The 17,855-nt window shown below is 42.1% G+C and overlaps 1 protein-coding gene across 2 annotated transcripts in view, besides 1 other annotated feature; it reads right to left on the bottom strand.

Moving 5' to 3' along the window:
- PKD1L1 (polycystin 1 like 1, transient receptor potential channel interacting) overlaps positions 1 to 17,855 on the bottom strand; it is a 186,293-nt gene that overhangs the window by 140,269 nt on the left and 28,169 nt on the right. For both annotated transcript variants that reach the window (XM_017011798.3, NM_138295.5), the window contains 4 exons: positions 17,054 to 17,174; positions 16,222 to 16,439; positions 14,322 to 14,644; positions 550 to 717 (listed from right to left, as the gene is read on the bottom strand). In XM_017011798.3, coding sequence (XP_016867287.1) covers positions 550 to 717; positions 14,322 to 14,644; positions 16,222 to 16,439; positions 17,054 to 17,174 — 830 coding nt within the window. The remainder of the gene's footprint in view (positions 1 to 549; positions 718 to 14,321; positions 14,645 to 16,221; positions 16,440 to 17,053; positions 17,175 to 17,855) is intronic.
- Positions 148 to 649: an enhancer, noted in NCBI's record as "NANOG hESC enhancer chr7:47954627-47955128 (GRCh37/hg19 assembly coordinates)". NCBI's record gives its function as "activates a minimal SCP1, AML or CMV promoter by ChIP-STARR-seq in naive H9 embryonic stem cells {active_cell/tissue: H9 hESC(naive)}" and the evidence as "EXISTENCE:reporter gene assay evidence [ECO:0000049][PMID:30033119]".

A 17,855-nucleotide genomic window follows, 5' to 3' on the forward strand; every position in this document is an offset into this window, starting at 1 on the left:
ACAGGAGGGACACAGGGCTGCAACTCCCTGTAACCTCCTGAGCAGCCATGCTGCTCCTAACACTGACCACATTTTAAGCCATAAAGACAACATCAGGACTTAAAGTTAAAACAGCAGAGAAAAGATTTGCTTATCATGCTACATTAAAACTAGAAATTAATAACGAAAGCAGTTCACAAAAGAGGCCACATGACATGTGAAAATTTTAAATGTAAATAATAACTAATTTAGCATCTGAGAAAGAAAAGGAGCTTTTATCTGAGGAATGCAAACCTCCTCTAAATGATCAGTCCCCAGAGGCGCGTGGGAATGAGACAGCAGTCACAGACCACTTCCCTCCTTGGGCTAAGGAATCCTGTCTTAAAACTGCTAGCTATCCCATGAGTGGCTATAAATTAACCTAACAATGCCACACACAGGACACCGTAGCCCATAGAGTGTATAGCCAATCACTAATCAATGTCATCTGTGTAAACCAATGAAAATTCCTGACAAACAGCTTTATATCAGCCCACTCCTTGTGGCCTCTTTTTGCTTTTAAAAACATACTGGTGACAAAGGCAGAAATAAGCTCATATCCAAGGTTACTGGGGTCTGAGTCTTCCAGGCAGCTGTTTTCACTTTGGCACAAGTAAACATTTAAAGTTGTATTTTGTGTCTCTGCTTCTTTGTAGGTGGACATATCCAACTGAAAATGTAAAAGATGAAAAAAAATACCTATAAAAGCAAAAAGAAGAAAATAAAGATAAAAGTGGAAATTAATAAACTAGGGGAAAATGTGGAATAAACAAAATCTGAAAGCTAGTTCTTTAAATAAACTAATGAAAATTTACCCAACCAATTAAGGAAGGAAAAAGAAATACAACGAAATAAAAATGATAGAAGAAAATACAGATGCCAATTAAAATAAAAGAACTATAAGAGCCTATTTTGCTCATCTCTATGCAAAAAAATGTTAAAACCTAGATTAAATAGATAATTATAAAAGAAAAAATAACTTGAAAGAACTAACTAGTGGAGAAATTAAAATTCTTAACAGATGAATTTCCATAGAAGAAATAGAAGAAGGTATCACTGAGCTACTCCAACGGCAGTAAGAAGAAAGTACCAGTCCCAGAGTGTTAAAAAGGAAATTCTCCAAAATAGAATATATATTTCCGATGCTATTCAAACTGTTTCAGGACAAATAAAAGACAAAGAAAACTTTCACACAGCACTGATATCAAAGACCAAAACTACTGCACAAAAATCAATGACTAGAAATTGTTCTGCACCAGCCATTTGAAGGTGATCCAGTACCTATCTACCTACCTGTCATCGAGGAGAAAAGCTATAATGAGGCAACTGGAAAATTGGACTATTTTTCAACTGCATTTGCAAATGCCTTTAAGGATTTTGGCATTTAGAATCATAGGTCTTGCTGTTACCTTCTGAGTTCTTTCTAGAGTTGACCTATTCATTAAGTGGAACTTGGGTTCTAAGATTTAGGTGCCTTAGTCCACTTTTTATAAATAAATAAATAAATGGGGGATCACAGTGAATGGGAGGCAGGACTAGATTGCAGCTCCAACTTGGATGGACAGAGCAGTGTGTGGAGGCTCGCATAGTCAATTTTTGCTCCAGAACAACTGCAGGAATAAATCAGGAAAGCTGAGAGGACCCACAGACTCCCTGAAGTAAGTGGATTGCTCCTGCAGGACCCAGGAGACACCCCAAATACTGTGCTGGTATACTTGGCTGAGAGACTCACAAATGGTTCACATCACAGTACTCTGTGCAGACAACCCCCAGTACCAGCCTGGAATCTGGTAGACTCGCTGGGTGGCTAGATCCAGAAGAGAGATAACAATCACTACAGCTCAGCTCTCAGGAAGCCACATCCATAGGAAAAGGGGATGAGTACTACATCAAGGGAACACCCACAGGACAAAAGAATCTGAACAACAGCCTTCAGCCCTAGACCTTCCATCTGACAGAGCCTACCCAAATGAGAAGGAACCAGAAAACCAACTCTGGTAATATGACAAAACAAGGTTCTTTAACACCTCCAAAAAAATCACACTAGCTCACCAGCAAGGAGCCCAAATCAAGAAGAAATCCCCAGTTTACCTTAAAAAGAATAGGAGGTTAGTTATTAAGCTAATTAGGGAGGCACCAGAGAAAGGCAAAGCCCAGTGTAAGGAAATCCAAAAAATGATACAAGAAGTGAAGGAGAAATACTCAAGGAAACAGATAGCATAAATAAAAAACAATCAAAACTTCAGGAAACAATGGACACACTTATAGAAATGCAAAATGCTCTGAAAAGTCTCAGCAATAGAATTGAGCAAGTAAAAGAAAGAAATTCAGAGCTCAAAGACAAGGTCTTTGAATTAACCCAATCCAACAAAGACAAAGAAAAAAGAATAAGAAAGTAAGAACAAAGCCTCCAAGAAGTCTGGGATTATGTTAAATGACCAAACCTAAGAATAATCAGTGTTCCTGAGGAAGAAGAGAAATCTAAAAGTTTGGAAAACATATGTGGGGGAATGATTGAGGGGAATAAACTTCCCCAGCCTTGCTAGAGACCCAGACATCCAAATACAAGAAGCACAAAGAATAGCTGGGAAATTCATCACAAAAAGATCATTGCCTAGGCACATTGTCATTGAGTTATCTAAAGTTAAGATGAAGGAAAGAATCTTAAGAGCTGTGAGACAAAAGCACCAGGTAACCTATAAAGGAAAACGTATCAGATTAGCAGCAGATTTCTCAGCAGAAACCCTATAAGCCGGAAGGGTTTGGTCAGTCTCTTCAAACAAAACAATTATCAGACAAGAATTTTGTATCTAGCAAAACTAAGCTTCATACATGAAGAAAAGATACAGTCTTTTTCAGACAAATGCTGACAGAATTCACCACTACCAAGCTACCACTACAAGAACTGCTAAAAGGAGCTCCAAATCTTGAAACAAATCCTGGAAACACATCAAAATAGAACCTCTTTAAAGCATAAATCTCACAGGACCTATAAAACAAAACTACAATTAAAAAAACCCAAAACCAATAACTAAAGTATACAGGCAACAAATAGCATGATGAATGGAATGGTACCTCACATCTCGATACTAACGTTGAATGTAAATGACCTAAATGCTCCACTTAAAGGATACAGAATAGCAGAATGGATAAGAATTCACCAACCAACGATCTGCTGCCTTCAGGAGACTCACCTAACACATAAGGACTCGCACAGACTTAAGGTAAAGTGGTAGAAAAAGACATTTCATGTGAACAAACACCAAAAGCAAGCAGGAGTAGCTATTCTCATATCAAACAAAACAAACTTTAAAGCAACAGCAGTTAAAAGAGACAAAGAAGAACATTATATAATGATAAAAGAAGCACATTATATAATGATAAAAGGCCTTGTCCAACAGGAAAATATCACAATCCTAAACATATATGCACCTAACACTGGAGCTCCCAAATTTGTAAAACAATTACTAACAGACCTAAGAAATGAGATAGACAGCAACACAATAATAGTGGGGGACTTCAATACTCCACTGACAGCACTAGACAGGTCATCAAGACAGAAAGTCAACAACAAAAAAAAAAACAATGGATTTAAACTATACCCTGGAACAAATGGACTTAACAGATATGTACAGAACATTCCATCCAACATACGCAGAATATACATTCTATTCAATAGTGTATAGAACTTTCTCCAAGATAGACCATATGATAGGCCACAAAACAAGCCTCAATAAATTTAAGAAAATCAAAATTGTATCAAGCACTCTCTCAGACCACAGTGGAATAAAACTGGAAATCAACTCCAAAAGGAACATTCAAAACCATGCAAATACATAGAAATTAAATAACCTGCTCCTGAGTGATCACTGGGTCAAAAATGAAATCAAGATGGAAATTTAAAAATTCTTCAAACTGAACCACAATAGTGACACAACGTATCAAAACCTCTGGGACACAGCAAAGGTGGTGCTAAGTGGAAATTTCATAGCCCTAAATGCCTACATCAAAAAGTCTGAAAGAGCACAAACAGACAATCTAAGGTCACACCTCAAGGAACTAGAGAAACAAGAACAAACCAAACACAAATGCAGCAGAAGAAAGGAAATAACCAAGATCAGAGCAGAACTAAATGAAATTGAAACAAACAAACAAAAAATACAAAAGATAAATAAAACAAAAAGCTGGTTCTTTGAAAAAATAAATAAAATTGATGGACCATTAGCAAGATTAACCAAAAAAAGAAGACAGAAAATCCAAATAAGCTCAATAAGAAACAAAACAGGGGATATTACAACTGACACTGCAGAAATACCAAAGATCATTCAAGGCTACTTAATGAACACCTTTACACACATAAACTAGAAAACCTAGAAGAGATGGATAAATTCCTGGAAAGATATAACCCTCCTAGCTTAAGTCAGGAAAGAATTAGATACCACGAACAGACCAATAATAAGCACTGAGATTGAAATGTTAATTTAAAAATTAACAACAAAAAAAGTCCAGGTCCAGACGAATTCACAGGAAAATTCCACCAGACATTTAAAGAATTGGTACCAATCCTATTGACACTATTCCACAAGACAGAGAAAGAGGAAACCCTCCCTAAATCATTTTATGAAGCCAGTATCACCTTAATACCAAAACCAGGAAAGGACATAACCAAAAAAGAAAACTACAGACCAATATCCCTAATGAACATAGATGCTGGAATCCTTAAAACACTAGCTAACCGAATCCAACATATCAAAAAGATAATCCACCATAATCAAGTGGGTTTCATACGAGGGATGCAGGTATGGTTTAACATACTCAAGTCAATAAATATGATACATCACATAAACAGAATTAAAAACAAAAATCACATGATCATCTCAATAGATGCAGAAAAAGCATTCAACAAAATCCAGCATCCCTTTATGATTAAAACTCTGAGCAAAACTGGCATACAAGGGACATACCTCAATATAATAAAAGCCAACTATGACAGACCCACAGCCAACATAATACTGAATGGGAAAAAGTTGAAAGCATTCCCTCTGAGAACTCGAACAAGACAAGGATGCCCACTGTCACCACTCCTCTTCAACATAGTACTGGAAGTCCTAGCCAGAGCAATCAAGAGAAAGGAATAAAGGGCATCCAAATCAGTAAAGAGGAATTCAAACTGTCACTGTTTTCTGATGATATGATCGTATATCTAGAAAACCCTAAAGACTCATCCAAAAAGCTCCTAGAATTGATAAAAGAATGCAGCTAAGTTTCTGGATACAAAACTAATGTACACAATCAGTAGGTCTTCTATACATCAACAGAGACCAAGCTGAGAATCAAATCAAGAACTCAACCCCTTTTAAAACAGCTGCAAAAAAAACCAAAACAAACAAACAAAAACAAAAAAAAAAAACCACTTAGGAATATACCTAACCAAGGAGGTGAAAGGCCTTTACAAGGAAAACTATAAAAGAGTGCTGAAAAAAAATCATGGATGACACAAACAAATGGAAACACATCCCATGCTCATGGATGAGTAGAATCAATATTGTGAAAATGACCATACTGCCAAAAGCAATCTACAAATTCAGTGGAATACCCATCAAAACACCACCATCATCTTCACAGAATTAGAAAAAACAATTCTAAAATTCATATGGAACCAAAAAAGAGGCTGTACATCCAAAGAAAGACTAAGCAAAAAGAACAAATCTGGAGGCATCACATTACCTGACTTCAAACTATATTATGAAGCCATAGTCACCAAAACAGCATGGGACTGGTATAAAAATAAGCACACAGACCAATGGAACAGAATAGAGATCCCAGAAATAAACCCAAACACTTAGAGCCAACTGATCTGCAACAAAGCAAACAAAAACATAAAGTGGGGAATGGACGCTCTTTTCAACAAATGGTGCTGGGATAATTGGCTAACCACATGTAGGAGACTGAAACTGGATCCTCATCTCTCACCTTATACAAAAATCAACTCAAGATGGATTAAGGACTTAAATCTAAGACCTGAAACTGTAAAAATTCTAGAAGATAACATTGGAAAAACCCTTCTAGACATTGGCTTAGGTAAGGATTTCATGACCAAGAACCCAAAAGCAAATGCAATAACAACAAAGATAAATAGTTGGGAGTTAATTAAACTAAAGAGATTTTGCATGGCAAAAGAAACATTCAGCAGACTAAACAGACAACCCACAGAGTGGGAAAAAAAATCTTCACAATCTATACATCTGACAAAGGACTAATATCCAGTATCTACAATGAATTCAAACAAATAACAATCCCATCAAAAAGTGGCCTAAGGACATGAATAGACAATTCTCAAAAAAAAAAAAAAAAAAAAGATATACAAATGGCCAGCAAACATATGAAAATGCTCAACATCACTAATGATCAGGGAAATGCAAATCAAAACTGCAATGCGATACCACTTTACTCCTGCAACAATGGCTATAATCAAAAAATAAAAAAATAGTAGATGTTGGTGTGGATGCAGTGAACAGGGAACGCTTCTATACTGCTGGTGGGAATGTAAACCACTATGGAAAACAGTATGGAGATTACTTAAATAACTAAAAGTAGAACTACCATTTGATCCAGCAATCCCACTACTGGATATCGATCCATTGGAAAATAAGTCATTATACGAAAAAGATACTTGCACATGCATATTTGTAGCAGCACAATTTGCAATTGTAAAACCATGGAACCAACCCAAACCAAATACCCATCAATCAATGAGTGGATAAAGAAACTGTGATATATATATATATATAATGAGATACTACTCAGCTATAAGAAGAGTGAATTAATGGCATTCACAGCAACCTGGATGAGATTGGAGATTATTATTCAAAGTGAAGTAACTTAGGAATGGAAAACCAAACATCGTATGTTCTCACTTATAAGTGAGAGCTAAGCTATGAGGATGCTAAGGCATAAGAATGACACTCCTCTCTCCCTCTCCCCTCTCCCCTCCCCCTCCCCTTCCCTTTCCCCCTCTCCCTCTCCCTCTCTCCCCTTTGCACAGTCTCCCTCTGATGCCAAGCCGAGGCTGGACTGTACTGCTGCCATCTCCACTCACTGCAACCTCCCTGCCTGATTCTCCTGCCTCAGCCTGCCCAGTGCCTGGGATTGCAGGCACGTGCTGCCACGCCTGACTGGTTTTCGTATTTTTTGGTGGAGACGGGGTTTTGCCGTGTTGGCCGGGCTGGTCTCCAGCTCCTGACCACGAGTGATCTACCAGCCTCGGCCTCCCGAGGTGCCGGGATTGCAGACAGAGTCTAGCTCACTCAGTGCTCAATGTTGCCCAGGCTGGAGTGCAGTGGCGTGCTCTCGGCTCGCTACAACCTCCACCTCCGAGCCGCCTGCCTTGGCCTCCCAAAGTGCCGAGATTGCAGCCTCTGCCCTGCCACTACCCCGTCTAGGAAGTGAGGAGCGTCTCTGCCTGGCCGCCCATCGTCTGGGATGTGAGGAGCCCCTCTGCCCGCCACCCAGTCTGGGAAGTGAGGAGCACCTCTTCCCGGCCGTCATCCCGTCTAGGAAGTGAGGAGCGTCTCTGCCCGGCTGCCCATCGTCTGGGATGTGGGGAGCACCTCTGCCCCGCCGCCCCGTCTGAGATGTGAAGAGCGCCTCTGCCAGGCCGCGACCCCGTCTGGGAACTGAGTAGCGTCTCTACCCCGCCGCCACCCCGTCTGGGAGGTGAGCAGCGTCTCTGACCGGCCGCCCCGTCTGAGAAGTGAGGAGCCCCTCCGCCCGGCAGCTGCCCCGTCTGGGAAGTGAGGAGCGTCTCCGCCCGGCAGCCGCCCCGTCCGGCCAGCCGCCCCGTTGGGGAGGTGGGGGGCAGCCCCCACCCCGGCCAGCCGCCCCATCTGGGAAGTGGGGAGCCCCTCTGCCCGGCCGCCACCCTGTCTGGGAGGTGTACGCAACAGCTCATTGAGAACGGGCCATGATGACGATGGCGGTTTTGTCGAATAGAAAAGGGGGAAATGTGGGGAAAAGAGAGATCAGATTGTTACTCTGTCTGTGTAGAAAGAAGTAGACATAGGAGACTCCATTTTGTTCTGTACTAAGAAAAATTCTTCTGCCTTGGGATGCTGTTAATCCATAACCTTACCCCCAACCCCATGCTCTCTGAAACATGTGCTGTGTCCACTAAGGGTTAAATGGATTAAGGGCAGTGCAAGGTGTGCTTTGTTAAACAGATGCTTGAAGGCAGCATACTCGTTAAGAGTCGTCACCACTCCCTAATCTCAAGTACCCAGGGACACAAACACTGCGGAAGGCGGTGGGGCCCTCTGCCTAGGAAAACCAGAGACCTTTGTTCACATGTTTATCTGCTGACCTTCCCTCCAGTATTGTCCTATGACCCTGCCAAATCCCCGTCTCCGAGAAACACCCAAGAATGATCAATAAATACTAAAAAAAAAAAAAAAAAGAATGACACAATGGACTTTGGGGACTCAGGGGGAAAGGGTGGGAAGTGGGTGAGAGATAAAAGACTAGTAATAGGGTGCAGTGTATATGGCTCAGGTGATGGTTGCACCAAAATCTCAGAGATCACCACTGAAGAACTTACTCATGTAACCAAACACCACCCGTTCCCCAATAACCTATGGAAATAAATTTTAAAAAAAACAAAAAACACTAATTGAGGGGGCTCTTGAGCAGCCACTTGCTCAAGCCTGCTCCCACTCTGTGAATTGTCTTCAATAAATCTGTGCCTACTCTGGCAAAAATAAATAAATAAATAAATAATAAAAATAAATAAATAAATAAAATCAATGATTAGAAGCCAACGCCATTTATGAGGAAGAACCATGAATACTATGTTAGAAAACTGAATGCAATAGCATAATCAAAAAGTAATTCACCAAAATCAAGTGTTTTTCACCCCTAGGAATTCAAGAATGAGTCAATAAGATATTGGCTAATAGAACACATGAGATTTGGAGTTCTAAAGAAGCAAAGAAAAAAGTTATAAAATCAGCTTCACAGATGCTGGAGAGAATTTAACAAAATCAACAACTCTTTTTTTTTTAAGTCTTCATTAAGAGAGGAAAAGATGAAAACTGCCTTTACATGATAAATTATATATGTCAAAAATCTAGTATCAAGTTTAATGGAACAATGTCGCAGCCTGATGGGTTCTTCTTTCCCACTGCCCTGAAAAAAGACTAATGAGACCAGCAGGAGTTGCAACAAAGAATGTAATAATCACAGGCCTGCTGAGCAAGGAGAACAGGGAGAAAGTTCTCAAACCTGTCTCCCCCAGAATTTGGAGGCTGGGGTTTTGTAAAAGTACTTTTTAAAAAGTACTTTCCCAGCAGGGTTCTGGGAAACTGGAACAGATGATTGGCTGAACAATTGGGATGAAATCACAGGAGCATCCCAAACTGTCTTTGTGCAGCTGAGTTAGTTCCTTGGCAGGGATGTGAGGGGGTAGTCTTAGAACTAGATGGTGTCTCTTGGTCTACTGAAACGTTAAATCCAAAAAATATCTCAAAATCAGATCTTTAGGTTTCACAATAGTGATGTTATTTACAGGAGTAGTTGGGAAAGTTACACATTTTGCAACCCTCAGTTACGTGACTCTGGGGCAATAGACAACCTATAGAAACACAAACTAAGCAATGGCAGGTTATGGTTTAATGCCTACTCATTAGCAAAGTCCTAACCCCTATCATAATTTTAACCTTGCCTTATGAATGTGGCTTTAATCTTCAGACATGGAGGGTGCCAGTTTCCTTTGCCTCCAAGTATAATGATAAACCTAATCCTTCTCATAGTTATCTTGGCCTCTGCATTACAGTAAGCAAGAAAAATATTTAGTCTGTGAAGTTAGAAGCAAGATGGAGTCAGTCATGCTAGATCACTCTTATTACTTATAATTCTACAAAAGCAGTTCAAAAACACTGGAAGGATCTTGAGACCGACATGCCCATCATCATCAATCTCATTTAACACTGTTCTGGCAGTATCAGCCATTGTAATTAAACAAGAGAAAGAAACTGGAGAGGTCAAATTGGAAATGAGAGGTTGATAATCACCATTCATAATTAATATGTTTACATAGCTGAAAAACACTGAAGAATACACTTCAAGATAACTATAAACAACATGAGAATTCAGTGAAAGAGAAGAGGACCTAAAATCAACAGCCAATAGCAGCAGCTTTTCTATATACCAATGACAACCAGTTTGGGGACAAAATGGAAAAAAAAAGGGAAAAAATATCCCTTTTATAATACAATAGTGCAAAAAATAAAATATCATACAAGAAACAGGTAAATTCTACATAAAGAAATGTTCAGGCCGGGTGCAGTGGTTCATGCCTATAATCCCAACACTTTGGGAGGCTGAGGCTGTAGGAACACTTGAGGCCAGGAGTTCGAGACCAGCCTGGTCAATATAGTGAGACTCCTGTCTCTATTAAAACAGAAAAGAAAAGAAAAAACAGAAATGTTTAAAATACTTTTAAAGAAAGATGCACGGAAAAAATGGACAGGAACAGGGCAGTTCATGCAGTGGGAGACTCGTAAATATAAAGACTCTACATAAATTAATTTATATATTAAACATTTGTAAATGAAAAATAAAATTCTAAGCTCTCCAACCTACTGAATGGACCCCTCCTTTTGGCCAAGGGCATTCCAAAGTTAACCTGAAAAATGAGTTCAGGCCATAATGGGAAGGGAGGGTCAGACATGCCCCACGATACCCTCCTCCCATTGGAATTGAGGCACAACTGACCAGCATTAACATTTAAACAGAGGCCTTAAGAATGACAAAACAGACTTTTTGTAGCAATAAGATACCAACATGACAGATAGCAGGCCCTGAAAGAAATCAAAGTATTTTACCCCAAAATATATTTGACACTTTGAAATTGTCCTACGAAAAGAGGAGACCCAAAATGAACAGCAAATAGCAGCAGCTTTTCTATATACCAATGACAACCAGTTTGGGGACAAAATGGGAAAAAATATCCCTTTTATAATAAATAGTGCAAAAAATAAAATATCATACAAGCAACATGTAAATTCCATATGAAGAAATGTTCAGGCTGGGCGCAGTGGTTCATGCCTGTAATCCCAACACTTTGGGAGGCTGAGGCTGTAGGATCACTTGAGGCCAGGAGTTCAGGGAAAAATTTATGTTCTGTAGAGAATTCCCTTCCCTTTCCAGATCTTTTCCTGATCCAGGACAGAATTAACTGAGTCTGGCACCTTTTAAAGGCTGATAAGAAACATTTACAATCTCTTCTCTCTGAAGGCTGCTACCTGGAGGCTTTGTCTGCATGATAAAATCTTTGGTCTTCACCACCACTTATTTTCACCCAGACACTCCCTTCTATTGATTCCAGGTCTTTAGGTAATAACTTAACTCTTTCAACCAATTGCCAATCAGAAAATCTTTGTATCTACCTATGACCTGAAAGCCTCCCTGACCCCCATCTTTGAGTTGTCCCACCTTTCTGCGCAGAACCAATGTACATTTTAGATGTATTGATTGATATCTTACGTCTCCCTAAAATGTATAAAACCAAGCTGTAGCATGACCACCTTGGGCACAAGTTCTTAGGACCTCCTGGAGCTGTGCCTCAGACCATGGTCACTCATATTTGGCTCAGAATAAATCTATTCAAAAATTTTACTTAGTTTGATTCTTTTCATCAACACATGATTTAAATAAAAATACCAATAAGATATTTTTATACTAGTCAGTGTGAGTCTAAAGTTCATGTGGAAAAAGGAACAAGCAAAAATGGCAAGAATAACACTAGAGAAGATGAGTGACAAGGGAAGCCAGCAAATCACCTGAGGGCAGAGAGGAAACCAGCATTGGTAGAGGCAGCACACCCCATCATTGTGGCAACCGAATTCCAGCATATGATGCTGAGCCAAATGGATGGCCATGCTAGAGAAGATGAGTGAACAAGGGATGCCAGCAAACGGCCTGAGGGCAGAGAGGAAGCCAGCATAGGTAGAGAGAGCACGCCCCATCAGTGTGGCAATGGAATCTTCCAGCAAATGACACTGAGCCAAATGGGTGGCCATTCAGGAAACAGTCAAATGGAATCTATAATGCAGGCTTTATGCCAGGATATATATTCAAATGCATTCAATATTTAAATGAGAAAACAGAATAACAGAAACTCTAGGAGAAACCATGAGAGAATTGTTCCATAAACTCAGAGTAAGGAAAAAATTTCTAACTATGACATAAAACTCAGAAACCATGAAAAAAAGGTTGATAAAGTATACTTAATAAAAGTTAAAAATTCCTACATGAAAAGAAAAAAAAACTATAAGTAAAACCAAAACACAAATAACAAATTGAAAAAAAAAGTACTAAAAAGACAAATTTTCTTTTTTTTTTGAGATGGAGTCTTGCCCTGTCGCCCAGGCAGGAATGCAGTGGTGCGATCTCAGCTTACTGCAACCTCCACCTCCCGGGTTCAAGCAATTCTCCTGCCCCAGCCTCCTAAGTAGGGCGCGCCACCACGCCCAGCTAATTTTTGTATTTTTAGTAGAGATGGGGTTTCACTATGTTGGTCAGGCTGGTCTCGAACTCTTGACCTCGTGATCCACCCGCCTCGGTCTCCCAAAGCACTAGTATTACAGGCGTGAGCCACCACATCCAGCCGACAAATTTTCTTAATAACAAAAGAGCTCATTGAAACCCCATATTAGATGGAACTGTGAAAGTGCTCAGCTTGGTTGAATATGGTCATACACTGGCAGTTGACAAGGATGAACCTAATAAAATGTAAATTTTAAAACTTCAGAAAGATACTGTTTTTACCTATCATATTGATCTCTACATCGTTCACAGGAATGTAAATAGGACAAGAGTCCTAATTAAAAGCAATTTAGCATTAACTATCAATTACAGATGCACATAGCATTTGAGGCAATAATCTTGGCTTTCCATTAAATGACATACACATGTAATTATTCACTGCAATGTTGTTTGCAATGCTGAAAGATCAGAAACAATTTCAATGTTCAGCAATAAAAAGAAAGAGCTGAATAGATTTGGTCCATTAAATTAATGGACTACTCAGCAACCACACCAAAAGCCAGGGAAGCTCTTTCTGTGTAGACAGGGAAGCCCGTCTAGATATGGATATGCATTTAAGTGGGCAAGGAGTGGGATACTGTGTGTGGTATACTTCCATTTGTGGAAAGGAGGGGAAACAACACTTATACTTGTTTATACACATAAAAGATATAAGAAGTAGAAGGCAGTAGTTGACTGTGGGTCAATAGAAAAGGACTTTTTACTATATAACTTTCTAGAATGTGGGAGTTTACACCATGAGAATGTATATGTTCAAAAAGTAACTTTAAAAACAAAAGGCCGGGGGGGAAGGTGCAGTGGCTCACACCTGTAATCCCAGCACTTTGGGAGGCCCAGGCAGGCAGATCACTTGAGGTCAGGAGTTTGGGACCAGCTAGGCCAACATAGTGAAACCCCATGTCTACTAAAAATACAAAAAATTAGCTGGGCATGGTGGTGCACACCTGTAATCCCAGCTACTTGGGAGGCTGAGGCGGGAGGATCCCTTGAACCTTGGAGGTGGAGGTTGCAGTGAGCCGAGATTGCGCCACTGCACTCCAGCCTGGGCAACAGAACAAGATTCTGTCTCAGAAAAAAGGAAGAAAGAACGAAAGAAAAAAAGAAAGAAAAAATTAAATCCTATCCGTAAGTGGAAAAGTATCAGAACTCTCCACTCACCCTCCACCCCCAATCATCATCTCTAGGGGTTTAGTAGTTGTCTGAGTAGAATGGGTCCAACGCTGGAATGTAAAGAATTTTTTCTTACTTTTGTTGAGACTACAAAATGTTGGAAATTTTAGTGCAAAAGAATTCATATAGAACATTGTGTGTGTGCATATGTGTGTGCATGAGCTTGAAGGACAATTTAAGTAATTTTTCAATAGTTATTATTTTTAGAATTCTGCTTCTGTGTAGGATGAAGCGCCAGTACATTACCTTTGGGACCTCAGGGCAAGTCCCCAGCCTCACCACATCTACCTCACAAGGCAAGTGGAAAGATTAAATGCAATGAAGTATGTAGAGTTGGTCACAGTGCAAAACACAGTGCACAAACCCACCTACGTCCGCAGTGTGCCACTGAGCTACTATTCTTGGAGCCAGGAAGGTTGGCTGAGTCCAGAGAAACGGAATGCAGTTTCTTTTCTTTTCCCAACACTGCCTCTTGGGTCCCCTAGCTCAGGACCTCCTTCCCAGGCTCCTGATAAGGACACCATGCACCTTACCTTTTGAGTACTGGTGGTAGGCAGTCACCGCCATTGCCTCAGACATGTTGTGTAGCCTCATTTCAACCCCAGAACTGTCCCCGAAATCCATCATCAGACAGAGAGCCTCTCCAGAAGCCATATGAACACGGAATCCCAGATTTGGAGGTGCCCGAGCTTCCACTTCCAGGGAGCAATTAAGAACAGGGTTCATGAAGTTATCAGAATTTCGAGCTAGGATGGCCACAGGAGGATGCTGAGTAGGGGGATAGAGGATCTCAGAACCAGACTGCGATGCCGTGAAGCTGGGGGTGCGAGGAATGCCAGGCGGAAGGCCGTGGGAGCTGTGGGAGAGAGGGAGAGGCTTCAGATTTCATGACAGTGGACCACTGGGGTGGGAGGGCAGAAGCCAAGCAGCCTGGCCTGGGTCCAGCCAGCTAGAAGCCAAGTCTGAGAAACCTGATGAAAGGCTTCACTTCCACTGGTTCTCAGAGTGGGGTCCCAGGGCCAGCAGCATCAGCATCACCTGGGCGCTTGTGAGACATGCAAATTCTTGACCCACCCCTGACCCACTGGGTCAGAAACTGGGGTGGGGCCAGCAAGCCCCCAGGTGAATCTGAGGTCAGCAAAAATTTGGGAGTCACTGCTCTAGCTACATTAGTAACAGTAAAAGGTAGAGTTTCTCTCATCACTGATTTAATAGACACGAAAGATGGTATCTCCCACAAGTCACTACTTCCTGTGTTTTTGCGAAAAGCTCCCCGTGAGGGTGGGTGCCACCCTTTCTACATTTCTCCCTAGCTCCTTGTGCTGCAAATTGGTTGGGGAGTTGGAAATAGTCTAGGATACTCAAGTCTCAGCTTCCAATCACACAGGACTTTCAAGATCATTTATGTGTTAAAAGCTGGTCTTGAGTAAAGCATATGGTGTTGGTACCATTACGTGGCATAAACGAAAGATTAAAGAAAGCAGGAAAAGGAAGATCATGGAGGTAGAAATGGCTTAAGTATCTTAATGGCCAATTCTCATGCTCCCATGTTTTTTTTTTTTTCCTCTTCCAGTGTGCTGTGCATGTCCCGTTAAAAAACACAGGCAGACAGATCACGGGGTCAGGAGATCGAGACCATTCTGGCTAACACGGTGAAACCCGGTCTCTACTAAAAATCCAAAAAATTAGCCGGGCATGGTGGCAGGTGACTGTAGTCCCAGCTACTTGGGAGGCTGAGGCAAGAGAATGGCATAAACTCAGGAGGCAGAGCTTGCAGTGACCCAAGATCGCGCCACTGCACTCCAGCCTGGGTGACAGAGCAAGACTCCCTCTCGAAAAAAAAATAAAATAAAATACACACAGTCGGCCGGGTGCAGTGGCTCATGCCTGAATCCCAGCACTTTGGGAGGCCGAGGCGGGTGGATCACGAGGTCAAGAGATCAAGACCAGTCTGGCCAACATGGTGAAACCCTATCTCTACTAAAAATACAAAAATTATCCCAGTGTGATGGCGCATGCCTGTAGTCCCAGCTACTCAGGAGGCTGAGGCAGAAGAATCGCTTGAACCCGGGAGGCGGAGGTTGCAGTGAGCCGAGATCACGCCACTGCACTCCAGCTTGGGTGACAGAGCGAGACTCTGTCAAAAAAACAAACAAACAAACAACAACAACAAAATATACACAGTCAGACAAAGCTTTAGTCTCAGTATGTGATTGATGGGAAACATAAAGGCAACCAAGTGGCATGGGTCCCTGATGGCAAACAGTGGCCAATTATGTCTACAGCATTGTAACTTGAAAGTCACTGGACTCAACTGCAACTATAATTAAAGCAAACAACGAAGATACTAAAATCACTAACGGATTGGGCATGGATGGTTCCAGACTGGGGATTGGAGAAGTGGTGCTGGCCTCCATACCTCCTTCACCGTACCTTCTGGGAGAAGTGGGAAAATGTGAAATCGGCCACAGGGGCACTCGCTGGGAGCTGGTCTGAGTGGGTCTGGCCACCTTGGTGGGGGTCTCCATCGTGACAGTCCCAGGAAGCAGCCCCGTGGCCACATCCTCCGCACAGCACAGCAGTCTCAGGACACAGCAGGAAGCCTCCATCTTCAGGCTGCAGGGAGCTGCTGCAGAAGTGGTGCCCTGGAGCTTAAAAGTTTAAGAACAGTTCAGGGTTTATTGAATGGCCTCGTCTGGCATCAGTAGCTGATGTCCGCCATGCTCAAAAAGCCAATTTAACAAACAGCCCCACTGCTACTGAGGTCTCTGCTATTTGGGTGGGTGACCACAAATTGGCCCCGTGCATTGGCGCTATGTTGTGAGTGGTAGGATTCACACTTTCCAGCATACTAGCCAAGACAGCGCCCAGCTGGCACCAGCTAGAACTATGAGGCATGTTTGATCAGGAATTTCAGGGTTGCTTAGTATTAGAAGTTCATGTTACCCCTTCAGCTAAGCCAATAGAAAATTAGCAATTGCATAAGGTCATCTATAACTCTATAAGGTTGTCAGCTGGGAGATGGCGCTCTTACAGACAGCAAAAATGCTCTTACAGAAAGCAAAAATATTTTCCCTTACTGTGGTGACAAATTTTAGAGATGCCTTCAAACTGCCTGAGCAGTGTCCAAATGACTTAGAAATGCAAAATATGGTTCACTGACAAACTCTGAGGCCGCCTACATACGGGTGAGTCTCCCCCATATGCATCAGATGCTCACCAGCAGCTTTCTGATGAAATTCAATTGCAGGGGTTAGATACCAACCTGGAGAAGAGCAGAGAATGTGCTGTCTGCGGTCCCAGTAGCACACAGCCGCCTGTGATGGAACCTGGGGCCACCACTGCTCCAGGCCCTTGCGATTATAATGAAAGGTTTGTGGGGAATTCTGTATGGGAAGGAAAGTGCAGAAAGAAAAGGAAACCCGGTCATGTTTCAGTCACATATCTGGCTTATTTGATTACAAATCATGCCCTTCACCAGGCTTTGCTGGAAATTCCCTTGCTGTGATTGCAGGCTCATTCCTGGGAGTCAGGCCCAGGCTGACCATGGGGATATGATGTGGTTAGAAGCCAAACCAGCGGGGCTGCTGCAGGCACTCGAGGGAGAAGTCTTAGGTAGAGTAGAGCTTATTAAACGATTGACTAAAATCCATGGCCACTGCTTCAGACAGTTCACCCAAAGGGGCGAGTCACATACAAAACATGCTCTGTCTTCCCTGTGGGGCCTGGACTTGACTGGAACATACTGTGGTGCAGTGACTGAGGGGGCACCGCGGAAGGCCTGGTGGTAACTACTTGCTTATTCCGAGTGCAGTCAAACCTGGCAGGGAGGCAGGGCTTGGGAATGGGACTCAAGGACCGTGCCTCTGGCCAGCAGGGACGAGGGTCAGTTAGCCGGTCATCTTCGTGTCCCCCATCATAGGACCCTGTTTTCAGCTGTTATCACCACCTCACCCTGCTGATGAGCCCCAGCGAGCCCTGCAGGAGTGGGTGAGGCACAGCAGGTTCCTTTCTCGGCGGCGGCTCCAGGCCCCACCTCTGGCAAGACCAGCCTTACTCTCAGCCTC

Source organism: Homo sapiens, chromosome 7 (assembly GCF_000001405.40).
Source record: "Homo sapiens chromosome 7, GRCh38.p14 Primary Assembly".
Lineage (NCBI taxonomy): Eukaryota > Metazoa > Chordata > Mammalia > Primates > Hominidae > Homo > Homo sapiens.